Genomic DNA, 13,927 nt, shown 5'->3' with positions numbered 1-13,927 from the left:
TTAATTTAGGTCTCCAGGCGTTATCCCTTGACCTTTAGCCTTTGCTATGACTTCTTACATTACAAGTAAAAAAAAGCTAAGGATTTGGGACATGAGTTTCAAAAGGAAGTTCGAGATGTTTGTTAAATTGCTAGAGTATAAGGCATAAGCAACATACCATGAAAGAAAGATGCATATATCATTACACTGGAAAGAAATCTTTGGGAAATGGATTGAGGCTGCTGCTATTATTGCCTTTTCTTTCTGGTTGGATAGCTGATTAGAATATTTAGAGCAGTATTAGCTAGCTATCATGGAAGCCACAGGACAGTAAGCAACTCGCAGTGATGCTTTCAGCTCTCAGAATATCACCATTGTAAGGTATTGAAGGTCCTTGTTGGACGTGGCACCAAAAAGAGGATTGTGCACATCTGAGAACCTCTATCCAGAATAATAGTGTGCAGAATGAACCACTAAATGCATGGATGAAGTAAAAATGCTGTATTAAACACATCGAAGACACAATTCATTGCAGGACACCCTGTTTTTGTATAATACTAAGATACAAAAGCACTACCGGTTAATTTTAAGACAACATCTATTGTAGACTGAACTGATATGAGAAATGTTAAAACCAAAAAAATGTACATCTTAGGACACATGAATTACATTCATTGCAAATATATCTTAGAGCTTTGGGATCAGGATAGGTGTGTGACACTGGGAACCCTCAGGGAGAACAGCTCCACTAGGCAGGACCAAAAGGAGCATTTCACTCTTTTCTGACATCACTGAGCAAGCATCCACTCCAGCTGTTCTCAGAATCCACTGGTTCCCATGGCACAAAGTAACAAAGGGCCCTGGCCCCTTCTCAGATCACCTCACTTCGAAAATTGTTCAACTGTGCTTCTGCATATTCGGCTTGCTTCCTGCTTAAAGCTGTGGCTCAAGGGCATTTCTTATGCAGTTCCTCCGTGCATGCCACAGTGCATCTTTAAAATGTCAGCCCTCCATTCACACCTACTTACTAGAGAACAAACTCCAGTCATTAACAGTTTATCATGATCAGAGGTTTCTTGTGGGCCTGGTGTGGTGGCTCACGCCTGTAATCCCAGCACTTTGGGAGGCCAAGGCAGGTGGATCGCTTGAGCCCAGGAGTTTGAGACCAGCCTGAGCAACATGGTGAAACTCTGTCTACACACACACACACACACACACACACACACACACACACACACACACGACAACAACAACAACAACAACAGCAACAACAACTAGTCAGACATGGTGGCACACGCCTGTAGGCCCAGCTATTTGTGAGGCTGAGGTGGAAGGATCGCTTGAGCCAGGGAGGTTGAAGCTGCAGTGAGCCATGATCATGCCATTGCATTCCAGCCTGGGAAACAAAGTGAGACCCTGTCTCAAAAAAAAAAAAAAGGTTTTATTATGAACCAGATTTGCAATTGCTATGCTGTCTCTCGTGGGAAGAGGAGGCAGAAAGGTTCCCATTTTTCCTGTTTTTATGTTACTGTAGTACCCATCATTATAAAGAGCCCTAGTGAGCATGGGGGTGGGGCACACCCCAGCAGTTTGGGAGGCTGAAGCAGAAGGATTGCTTGAGCCCAGGAGTTAAAGCCCTGGTAGAGTTGTCAGACTTGAAAAAGCAATACAGACAGGAGGGCATCCTTCCCGCCACCTCCTGTCTCCGGTGAGGCTGCTGGGGTACCTCTTCATCTCCTTCTCATTCCTCTTCCCTTCTGATCCTTTCTTTCCTATATAGTTGTAAAGTTTACTTTTGAACTATGTCTATTGATTTATTTCTATTAAGAAAAATTCTCTTTAGGCCAGAAAATGTGATGATTGCAAACAGATAAACATGTTTCATGCTGTCGTTTTTTAGGGAAGTGGTTGTTGCTTGGTAGCCAGTGTGGACGTTTTGAGACTTGCACTGGTTTCATAGAATTGACCAGTTAACTAAGACAGTGAGTTATATCAGGAAATGGTTTCATGTAGTTACATTGCATTGCAGAAATGTAGAGAATAGATACAGAAATAGATGAGAAGTGTAATCATGTGATGGAAAGTCTAAATCTCAAATATGCTTTGCAAATTATAGTTTAACTGTTTAGCTTGTAACTGCTTTTAGTGAAGCTATAAGTAAGGGATGCTCATGAAATAATTCTGTTCTTTCCCGGATGCAGCGTGGATAGGCGTATGGGTTCCTTTCTCTGATGGTGTTGGCTTCCCTGCTCTGGTTCAGGCAGTTTACTTACTTAACTAAGCCTCAGCTAGAAAATGGGGATGGTAACAGAACTCAACTCTTAGATCCTTGTGAAAATTAAATGCGATAATCCTGAGAGGCATTAACATGACAAAAGTTCAATATACGTGAGCTTTTTAATTCATCATTGGCACAGGGTTCATGATCTGATACAAAGTAAGCATTTGCTACATATTTCAAACTTTTCTTTCAAAAAATCATGTACAAATCGGACATTTGAACTATTGTACATGCTAAATTAATGAAGTTTTTGCTGTTTAAAAATCTAGTTTCTCTGTCTTTTAGTAGTTCTTGCTGAAGACTGTTCATTGAACAGCTGCTCTGAGGGTACGTAAGCTAGGCCAGTGAGTGATGTGTTTTGGGCTCACTCTGGCCAGATCTGCCCACGAGATGTGGCACTGGTTAACATCGGAGAGGCTCCTTCTCATCCCTGCATCCTTCCAGGGACAGCCAGCTGCATTGTGAAACCCACCCTGATGGACACGGGTCCTTCATGAACACTGTTTGTTGGTTCCTCAGGATATGCCCAGTTGGAGAGTACCTTGCTGCTTTTTCTCCAATATGTGTTTACAGGTTGTCTTTAGAAAGCATTTAGAAAACATTATCAGTTCTTTCCAGGGTATTTTACTCTGTCTCACTTTAAAATGTGGCCACCTGCCCTTGTCTTTATCTGCAAGGGCAGCCTTTCTACCTCTTAGTATGCATGATTTGAGGAACTCCCAGACCCTAGGCATTTAGACCGTAACCTTCAGATACTGGACAGGTGAAAAGAAAATGCGAGAAGCCGGTTGACCTGCAGCACTGGGGATGTCATTCTGATCATCGTATTGTTTCAAAGTAGAATCGAAAGCAGTTTCTACTTGCTTGCTAAACCTCAGCTCAAATCACCAAGAGTTGCTTCAAGGGATTTGATGGTATTGTAATAGTTGGCGGTTTTTAGCACAAAGCACATAATCTTTGAACAATCAGTCATTTGGAGTTTGCTTATGGGATCATGTCCTGTGATATGTTTTAACTGCTAGTGACCATTTTATGCAAGGCAGCACGAAATTGGTGGCCGGAAAATGGACAGAGCGCTAAAAATGATCTAGTTTTACTTCCTTCTTCTTTTTTGCAGTACCCAACCAGAGAATACTGAGTCCGACCAGCCTTTCTGTGCACACATGTGCTTCTCTCGCCTAATGGCATTCTGCTTCTCCCTTGGGAATGTGTTCCCCTGGCTCTTAGCTCTCTGGGTCAAGTTAGGAGGAATGTCGTCCTTGTATATATCTAGGTATAAATGAGATAAACTCCCGTCTTTTCCTTCACTTTAACCTAAATGTTTCTTGTGGCAATTTATGTCACATTCATAGTTGCAGCCCCTGCTAATGCTTTGGACAGTAACATTATCATGGTCTTATTATTTATTACCTGACACTCATGTAGTGATTCTCACTATCATCCCTGAGTGTAAGTTATGTGTAATCCTATGAAAAGGCAAGGAAACAAGACTAAGTAAGTTTAGGAAACTTGTAGTTTTATGACTTTATACATGCTTAAACAATTATGTGGTGTGGATGTTTTTGAACTACAAGAAAGGAAGATGCGGGAGGATAAAGAAGATAGAAGAGGGTATTCGTGAAAGGACAGGGAAGGGACAGGGAAAGAACATGAGGATATACAGCAGGCATGGGCCATTTAGGTACCAAGAACAATGGCTTTCAATCCCATGTGGCACCTCCAAAGTAAGCACTGTTTTATATGTGTAATGAGGAGAATCATTTTAATCATTTGTTATCAATGAATTTTTTTACGTATGCAAGAGCTCTTGCATTTTTTTATATAAACGAGGTGGCCTGGGGGTTCGGGGAACTGGGTAATAGGAGCAGGGTGAGGTGGGGGGCCTGGGAGGAGTGAGAAGCATGGGTTGGGAGACCCAGGCTCTAATTCCAGCTCGACCACCTGCAAGGTATGACTTTGGGTAGTTCAGTTAACCTTCAGAGTCTCTGTTTCCTTATCTGGAAAATCAGGTTTAAATGATTAAAAAAATAATGCCCAGTGGCTACCATAGTATCTGGTATGCAAGAGGAAGTTATATTTTAGAATAAGTGTTGTTTTTTCCTCCTTTCTCTTGAGGCTCTCTTATGCCAGCCAAGAACAGAGAATTAGGAAGAGAAGTTTGAGTTTTAAAAACCACTGTGCAGTAAAGGTGTGTGGGTGGGGTACTGATCCTAGAAAGTCATCATTAAAAGTTCACATACCAGCTGAAGAGTGGATAAGATCCAAGGAATATGCTAAACTTGCCTTCACCGTCAGTGCCATAGGAAATTACATGAACTGTTCTTTGTTCTGGGCATTGCATTATGTTTGTTGACTCTGAGGAATCTATATAAGGATTAACACTTTCTCCTTTCCACATGTGCTTCCTAATAGCCCCTCACAAATACTATATTGGATTTCGGTACGTCCATCCTTTAACAGAAGAAGCAATTGAAGAGATGGAGAGAGATGGCCTAGAAAGGGCTATTGCTTTCACACAGTATCCACAGTACAGCTGCTCCACCACAGGTAAGGGCATCTCTCTGACAGTGGAAAGGTAGATACGGTGCTGGCAAAAATAACCAAGGAGTCTAAGTACTGAAGGGAAGGATGAATTATTTGCAATTTGAATGGCAAATTCAACCTGTCTTCTTTAAACACGAGAGTTCAGGTCAGTCCATTTGAAATCTCATGGTCCATCTGTCCCTTGAATTATTGGCCACTTGGCTGGTAATTACAAATGGTGTGGGTGGTAGGCAGTGGCTGTCAGTGTTCAGTGCTTTAATGCCATTGTGTAATGGATCAGTAATGAACCTTAAGGCTCTTTCTGGGTTTGTGTGATAAACCTTTTTATGGCTACCCAGATTTTCTTACTGATGTAGCAAAGATTGTAACTGTTCTCATTTTGAAAGCAAAGATGCCCATACAACATGGGAAATACTGATATTTTGTTGCTGTTGTCGTTGTTTTGCTTCAGTTATGAGTTGGTTGCTGGTAAAACTAAAGCCCAGTTTGGGGTTCCCTTTGCAGAATTTTCTGTTTTCTTGATTTTGGAAAATGTTACTGCTTGTCGTTTTCTGTATATTTAACTGGAGCTGGGGAATAATTGGTGTTTGGCAATCTCTGTATCATTCATTGTAGGCAAAGCTGCTACTGTCACCCACAGACACATTTGTTTGCATTCCATTGCAAGGATTGAAGTCAGCACATTCTTAGTCCCAAATTGCTTTTGGATATTAATGTTTATCACTTCTATAACCATAAGGAGAATCAAAAGGCTATTGGAAAAAGTCAAAGCTTGTTATGTGCCTTAAATATTTGTTCAGAGAACCCATTAAAATGCCTGAGTTCTAAGATACCCTCAAGAGTTTGAATTATCATTTCTTTCTTTTTTTTTTTTTTTCTGAGATGGTATCTTGCTCTGTCATTGCAACCTCCATCTCCCGGGTTCAAGTGATTCTCCTGCCTCAGCCTCCTGAGTAGCTGGGATTGCAGGCATGTGCCACCACGCTCGGCTAATTTGTGTATTTTTGGTAGAGATGGGGTTTCACCATGTTGGCCAGGCTGGTCTCAAAATCCTGGCCGCAAATGATCCACCCACCTCAGCCTCCTAAAGCACTGGGATTACAGGCGTGAGCCACCGCACTCAGCCTGAATTATTATTTTTCTTTTGGAAATGCACCACTACAACTTCAAAATGTCTGGTCATATGTTACTGGAGAAGGAGTCAGATTTTATGAATTTTTAAGCTCTACTTTTGCCTTGTTTTAAGAAATATACCTCAATATGTAAATGGCTGCTCTCACAATTAGATAAATTAAGAAGATTGTTATTTACATGACAGAAGATTGACTATGGTTTTTATTTCAGGGCTGGCTCTACCAAGTGACAGTGTATGCAAAACTTCACTGTATGCTTAGTTTTTCTTGAATGTATCTCATGTAAGGACAGGTACATCCGTCTATCCAAGTTGTGGAAGGCTTTGCGAAGTACGTTAATTCTTCGAGGCCACTCAAATGCTGTTTATCTGTTGTATCTTTTAGACTGGCACTATTGTGGCAGAGCCAGTGTGTGTCTTTATCACAAACACATTTCTCAGTCACATTTTCTCCTTAATGACTTCTTTGGGTTGTTTGTTGAATGTTTCCACACAACCTGAAAGAGCTAATGTAGCTTCCAGATGCCCCCTTGCACATATGAAAATGATATCCACCTGTGAAGTGCGGTCTGTAACGTGAATATGGTCGTGACAACTTTTTGATTTCTGGAGAGATTGTTTCTGAACCTTGAATGGAGTCCCTTTGAATTCTTCTGATTCACTGTATTCTACTCACCAAAATTGAACCTGTTTATCTTTTTGGAAGTTGAGTCTTAGTCTGAGAGTATATGTGATTTAAGATATGCTCTCTCCTGACTACCATTTTCAACTGGAAACCTAACTAATAGTTCTTATAGTTAGAGAGCCCAGTGGATCGGTGATGGAAAGCATGGAAATGTTTTGGGACTTGCCCTATGTTAAGACTGAGGAAGAGGCTGTGTGTTAGACTTGGTTTCATAGGATTCAGGTGTGACCCCAATGCTAACTCCCCTAGACAGGAAAAAGTTACATTGGGTTGACACCATCTGCCTTCCTTTAGGCTTTGAGTTTTCATGATTTCCATCTCTCTCTTAGAAATATAAGTTTATTAGATTACTTATAAGGATTTGGTGTCCATTTAGCTTATTCTAGGGAATGAGAACTCACAGAAACTTCAATAATTTTCTCTCCTTATCATGAGGCCATTAATAACAATAGTTATGCTGGGCGCGGTGGCTCACCCCTGTAATCCCAGCACTTTGGGAGGCCCAGGCGGGCAGATCACCTGAGGTTGGGAGTTTGAGACCAGCCTGACCAACATGGAGAAACCCCGTCTCTACTAAAAGTAAAAAATTAGCCAGGCGTAGTGGCATATACCTGTAATCCCAGCTACTTGGGAGGCTGAGGCAGGAGAATCACTTGAACCCAAGAGTTGGAGGTTGCGGTAAGCTGAGATCGCGCCACTGCACTCCAGCCTGGGCAACAAGAGCAAAACTCCATCTCACAAACAAACAATAGTTACAAAGCTTTTATCATAACATGGAAAATATTTATTTCATAATATTAAGTAAAGATGCTCAAAATACTCAGCATGCAGAATTGCATATGTATTAAAAATTACAACTTTGTAAAACAAAACATCTATAAAGAAAAAAAGAACCATATTAGAGTAAAGCAATGACTGTAATTAGCATGCTGGGATAATGGTCAGTTTCTTTTTTCCTTTCTTCCCCATCGCATACATTTCCTATAATGGGATTGATAACCTTTGTAACTGGAAAAAAAATAACATACTTTTTTTTTTTTTTTTTTTTTTTTGGGACGGAGTTTCGCTCTTGTTGCCCAGGCTGGAGTGCAATGGCACGATCTCAGCTCACCATAACCTCCACCTCCTGGGTTCAAGCGATTCTCCTACCTCAGCCTCCTGAGTAGCTGGGATTACAGGTGCACCACCATGCCTGGCTAATTTTGTATTTTTTAGTAGAGATAGGGTTTCTCCACGTTGGTCAGGCTGGTGTCAAACTCCCAACCTCAGGTGATCCACCAGCCTTGGCCTCCCAAAGTGCTGGGATTACAGGCGTGAGCCACCGTGCCTGGCCGACATACTTTGAATTGTAAGACTTGGTCCCTGTAAATATGACTGCTTATATTTCATAACTTTACGGCCATCTTGTTTTTCACTAGAACTGACATCAATAATCTTTGAAAGTCCATTGAAATTGATTGCTTTTTAGTGATCTTCATTTGCAGGGTAGTTAAATCTATATGCATTTTAGAGTATTGAAATGATTGTAATTAGACTGATTCAGTAAAGAAGCAGTTACCTGCTTTGAACTTATATATACTACCTTTACGAGTCTGTTTTTTATTTTCACCATAATCAAAATGCATCTACTAAGTGGTCTCTGTATATTTCAGGCAGCAGCTTAAATGCCATTTACAGATACTATAATCAAGTGGGACGGAAGCCCACGATGAAGTGGAGCACTATTGACAGGTGGCCCACACATCACCTCCTCATCCAGGTAAGCCAGTGCTTGCCAGCTGCCTGTCACCCCAGCATCTAGTGTGAATCAGCTTCTCATCCCTTCTGGGTTTGTGGATGTCCTTCTGAGCCTTACTGTTCCCTTGCTTAAATTGTGTGTTTGGGATTAAATAAAAGTATTATATTCTTGATTTATTATGAAAAGAGAAAATACATTTAAAGATTAAAATGACTAGACTCTTCTTTCTTCAGATTAATGCTATTAGTCCCAAACCATAACAAAACGATATTTTGAGTTTTGTGTTTCCTATGACCAGAAGAGCATTAAAGATTGTGCATGGTGTTTCAGCTAACTTACATTTGTAGGTTGAGTGACTGACCAACGAATTAAATTTTCTACTTTCTAAATCCTTTAAAATGTCAAACGATTTTAATAATGTAAAAGTAATATATCTACATGTTCTGAGACATGAAAATAAATTGAACATTTCGATTGAGAAAGTTTCACATATTAAAAGAAATTTCATATTTCTTCTATGCAATTTATATTTATAATATTTTTATTAACAGATGCTTGATTTTAGGAGAATAAGTTAAAATTACAGTTCTAAAGTTAATAGCTTTGAACTGATGTTACCATATTCTTTTCTGCCTGTCAAATATGGGAGGGCAATTGGTAAAATATTGCCCTAAATTATGCAAATATAATTTTGTTCTGCTAGTAGAAGTTTCTGCTTTTGAGTTATTTTAGGTAGGGGAAATATTAAGTCATTTAGATTTGATCCATTTTATTTTTCACTCCTTGAACGTTTTCTGACTCCCGGCAAAAAACCCTACTAACAACTTCTTTAGAAGCCTGGTGTCATTTAAATCTGTGACCACTAGATGGTGCTAGACATCATTGAAATCAGGCCAGCTCTCCCCAGAGCAGTGTTCCTTAGGCATGTAAAGGGTTAACACTTGGGTTGAAATCCAATTTTAAGTAAAAACTGAAAAGAAGGAGCTTACCCTTAGGGGTGGGTGTAGTTGTGGTCTCTGTGTGCACCATTGATGGCTGTGTTGCTGGGTCCAGCCAGTACTGCCTGAAGCACCAGCAGCCTGGGTTTTGCTTTGGGAGGCCTGCGATTGGAAAGGAGGGGGGTTTCAGGTCAGCATTGACATGTGGTAGCAGGGAATGGAGGGATCTGCACAGCATCTGCCTGCCCTGATCAAGTGAGTAATTAGATTTGCATTAAAATTCAGCCCTTTGAAAAGGAGGGAAGCAAAACGATGGAAAGGTCTCTTAACTGAGGAAGTCTCTGTTCATAAAATGAAAGGGAATTTTAGAGGCATTTATCTGCCCTCCTAGATGGTGTGATTGAAGGCTCTGAGAGGCTCGGTGCCTCTTTCATTCTGCAGAGAGGTTGGGAGTAGAAAATACCGCAGATGGGTTTTAGGTGATTTAAATAGCACTTCTCCTTGCCCATGGCGCCTCAGTTTTGAAGATGGCTTAGAGGCTGTTGCAAGCCATATGATTTGTGTTTTTACTTGCAGCTTTGCAAGCCGAGAAAAGAAAAACACTAGGCTTTGGATACGATATGACATTTTTGGAAACCAGAAAACAAAACCCTAAACTAAAATGAAAAATATAGTTTAAAACTACAAATTCTGTTTTGAATCCACATTTCTGCTTGGCATAGGTAGTAATTGCTCCAAATAGCCATTTTATTACTGTTTTCTCTAATATTGGTATTTATTTAGCTGTTGGGTTAATTGGAGCAAATTTATCTTCTAGGCTCCTGTATAAACCTTGCAGTGGGCCTCCTTATCTAGGCTGAGGTCCAAAAATAATCCTTTCTGAGCATCTTTAGTTTCCAAACACTGCAAAGACCAGAAAATATTGGTTTCGTTTGTATCTAATCCTGTCACATTTGCTGAGAATTTACATTATAAATTCTGAAAAGGGAACTTAACTTTAGGTACCATTTTATGCCTTAGGATATTTATTTACCAAATTTTGAGAGTTCTGGAAAGATTAATAATATCTCAATATTTATTAGGGAATAGTTTGCTTATCCCATAGTTTTCACTGACCACTGATGTATCAAAATACCAACAAGTGCAGATTTACATGTTTCTGATAAATTGTCCTTTATAATTTTTAAAAAGTTACAAAGGACCATTTAGAAATAATTTTAGATATGCAGAAAAGTTACAAGATTAAGAATAGTATAAGGAACTCTCATCTACTCTTTTACCTATATTACTGTATTATTATTATTTTGAGGCAGGGTTTCACTCTGTTGCCCAGGCTGGAGTTGAGTGGAACGATCATAGCTCACTGCAACCTTAACCTTCTGGGCCCAGGTGATCCTCCCGCCTCAGCCTGCTGAGTAGCTGGGACCACAGGCAGGTGCCATCACACCCTGCTAATTTTTAAAAATGTTGTGGAGATTAGGTCTTTCCATGTTGCTCAGGCTAGTCTTGAACTTCTGGGCTCCAGCAGTCGTCCAACCTTGGCCTCCCAAAGTGCTGGGATTACTGGCGTGAGCCACTGCGTCTGGCCTATTGATGTGTTATTAACATGTATATCCCACTTGCTTTATCATTTACACGCCCCGTGTGTGTGTATGTATGTGTGTGTGTCTGTGTTTGTATAAACATGATTTCTTTTTCTGACCCATTTGAGAATAAGTTATGCATATATCACCATCCTCTACACCTAAACACTTAAGTGTGTTTTCTAAAATCAGGAATATTCTCTTACATAACCACAATACAACATTCAACTTCAGTAAATTTAACGTCAATATTTAAACTTTTACTTAATTTACATTCATATTCTGATTTTGTCAGTTGACCCATTTGTGTCTTTTGTAGCATTTTTTTATAAGCTAAATGACAGAGAATGATTAAAGTATAAGACGAAAGAAAGCCCCTTCAGTTCTGGTATTTCAGCACCTATCGACGTGAATCAAAGTGCCGGCTAGACGAAGGGAGCTCCCTGGTCTGGTGGACAGAGATTTGGAGGGGGAGGCAGGAACCATGTTCTTTCTCAAGTTCCACAGATGTGACTGAATGGGCCCCTAAGTTTACCACATCTTTCCCGGCTCTGTGAATTTAATGGGTGTGTATCACCTGTCATCTGTTGTTGTGAAGGTTTTTATAAAAATTGACTTGATGGGGATATGAGGCTCAGAAGAAACTGTTATAAAAATAGAGCAGTATTTTCTTATTTCCCTACTATTCCTGACTAATGTATTTAATGTGGTATGCCTGAAAGCCAAACTAAGGAGGCTTTAGAAAGACCCTGTAAGCTGTTTTCCTGCTAACGGAGCAAATGAGAGGTCTTAAAACAACTCCTTCCCATCTGTGTTTCCTTTCCATCTGGAAGTGTGCCCTGTCCTTCCCGAGGGGAAGCAGATCCACAGCGCGCATTTGCAGTGAGCCATTAGCGAGCTTTAGAAGTTTCCCAGCAAATTCCCTAGGCCCCTGAAACTGTTATGATCCATTTTGATGATAAACCAATGCTGAGAGGCTGGACTGTTTGCAATTTTTTAAAAAAGAGAGTTCGGATTTTTGAGGGTTGCTCTGAGATTTTTGGTGTAGGCTTCATTTTAAAATTATTTTCTTTTTCCTTCCATTTCTTTCTTCCCTTCCTCTTTATCCTCCTTTCTTGTTACTCACTCAGTGCTTTGCAGATCATATTCTAAAGGAACTGGACCATTTTCCACTTGAGAAGAGAAGCGAGGTGGTCATTCTGTTTTCTGCTCACTCACTGCCCATGTCTGTAAGTAAGAACATTTTCTGGGATGACCTAGTGATAGAGGATTGGGTGATTTCATTTTCTAAATGTGTAAAATGGGTCCAGCTTCCATTATGTCCTAAGCCCAGTGCAAGAATGAATTCTCAAATCTCAGACTTGGTGCTAACTAGCCTCACTTCTTAAAACCTCGTAACAATGAATTCAAATTATAATGTTGTAAATAGATCTTTTCCTCTTTTCTTTTTTTTGAAACAGAGTCTTGCTGTGTCACCCAGGCTGGAGTGCAATGGTGCAGTCTCGGCTCACTGCAACCTCCACCTCATGGGCTCAAGCAGTTCTCTTGCCTCAGCCTCCCAAGTAGCTGGGATTACAGGCACCCACCACCATGCCTGGCTAATTTTTTGTATTTTTAGTAGAGACTGGGTTTCACCATGTTGGCCAGGCTGGTCTCAAACTCCTGACCTTAGGTGATCCACCCGCCCAGGCCTCCCAAAGTACTGGGATTTCAGGTGTGAGCCACCACACCCAGCTCCTCTTTTCTTTAAAATGATAACTTGAAGATATATATAAGACTTTCTAATAAGTGGGACAGTTAAGAGAAGGCTGCTTTTGCCTGCCCTGTCAGCAGAGCTCAGCTTGATGTTTCTGTGTGTTGAGTGGGGGGGTCTCCATTCAGACAAGCGCTCTCAATCCCATGCTTTTGTCCTCAGGACTTGTTAGGCAGCCATTGCAGTTTGCTAAGACTCAGGACCACATTTTTGCAAGTGAATATAGAGGATCAAGTTGGGATCTGGCTGTTCCTTAGTTCATCATATTACACTAGGCTATTCATCCAGATGCTACAATCTGTGCCATAGCTGTTGTATTGTTGGAAACAAGAATGATCAAGCTAGTGTACTGTATGATATATAGAAGCGCTTGGAATAAGCAACCAGTTTCATCTGCTCAGAACTAGCATTCTATCCTAAAACCAGTGCTTTCCAACCCAGAGAGGTGGATAATTACATCTTCACAGGGGTGATTGAGGTTTTAACAATGTCGGGAATGGAGTCAGCCTCAGTGTCTGGGCCACTCTTGTAACTGGGCCTTACCGCCCCCTGGTGGCTACTAGGGCCAAGCCTCTGCAGATTTTCCACTCATCGTCTCTGCTGGGCCTCGTGTGGACGGTAGGAGGCTCTGAAGATAAATTCCTCTCTTCTGGAAGCCTGCCTATTTTAATGGGTTTGCTTTTCCTTTTCTGGTGTCATGCAATCCTTTTCACATGTCCATCCTCCTGCCACTTCATCCTATGTAAGGTGAGACCTCGCCTGAGATGCCAGAAGGGAAGCCCTTGAACCAGCCTGGAGCAAACACATTTGCTTTGCTTTTTTTTTGAGACGGGTCTTGCTCTGTTGCCCAGGCTGGAGTGCAGTGATGCGATCACAGCTCACCGTAGCCTCCACCTCCTGGGTTCAAGCGATTCTCCTGCCACAGCCTCTTGAGTACCTGGGACCACAGGCACACGCAACCACGCCTGGCTAATTTTTTGTATTTTTAGTAGAGACGGGGTTTCCCCATGTTGCCCAGGTTGGTCTCAACCTCAAGTGAGCCACTCACCTTGGCCTCCCAAAGTGCTGGGATCACAGGCATGAGCCACCGTGCCTGGCTGAAACCCATTTTTGTATGTGGGGATTCCGGTGCTGCCTTGCCTCCTCTGACCGTGGCCTCACTTCCTTATTCTTTCACCTGGGGACGGAGCACGCTGCTTCCAGGTTTGGCTGCTGGAGCGTCCTTGTGGGACCGGGAAATGCCACAGTGTCATAAGGATAAGTCAGGTATGGGGAGGACATTGGAGAGTTGAGA

At 41.3% G+C, this 13,927-nt stretch overlaps 1 protein-coding gene across 6 annotated transcripts in view, besides 1 other annotated feature; it reads left to right on the top strand.

Moving 5' to 3' along the window:
- The window catches only part of FECH (ferrochelatase), a 42,326-nt gene that overhangs the window by 15,449 nt on the left and 12,950 nt on the right, over positions 1-13,927 (top strand). For 4 of the 6 annotated variants that reach the window (NM_001374778.1, NM_000140.5, NM_001012515.4 and 1 more), the window contains 3 exons: positions 4,673-4,807; positions 8,274-8,380; positions 12,011-12,109. In NM_001374778.1, the coding sequence (NP_001361707.1) occupies positions 4,673-4,807; positions 8,274-8,380; positions 12,011-12,109 (341 nt within the window). The remainder of the gene's footprint in view (positions 1-4,672; positions 4,808-8,273; positions 8,381-12,010; positions 12,110-13,927) is intronic. The other 2 variants (NM_001371094.1, XM_011525881.2) reach the window with 1 other exon arrangement.
- Positions 8,231-8,404: a silencer, noted in NCBI's record as "fragment chr18:55230082-55230255 (GRCh37/hg19 assembly coordinates)". NCBI's record gives its function as "represses an EF-1alpha promoter that drives an FKBP-Casp9 reporter gene in an ReSE screen in phorbol 12-myristate 13-acetate-treated (for megakaryocytic differentiation) K562 erythroleukemia cells {active_cell/tissue: K562(+PMA)}" and the evidence as "EXISTENCE:reporter gene assay evidence [ECO:0000049][PMID:32094911]".

The sequence above is a fragment of the Homo sapiens genome, chromosome 18 (assembly GCF_000001405.40).
Source record: "Homo sapiens chromosome 18, GRCh38.p14 Primary Assembly".
Taxonomy (NCBI): domain Eukaryota; kingdom Metazoa; phylum Chordata; class Mammalia; order Primates; family Hominidae; genus Homo; species Homo sapiens.
The sequence above is the reverse complement of the archived record's forward strand: the minus strand, read 5'-3'. Positions and strand labels throughout refer to the sequence as shown.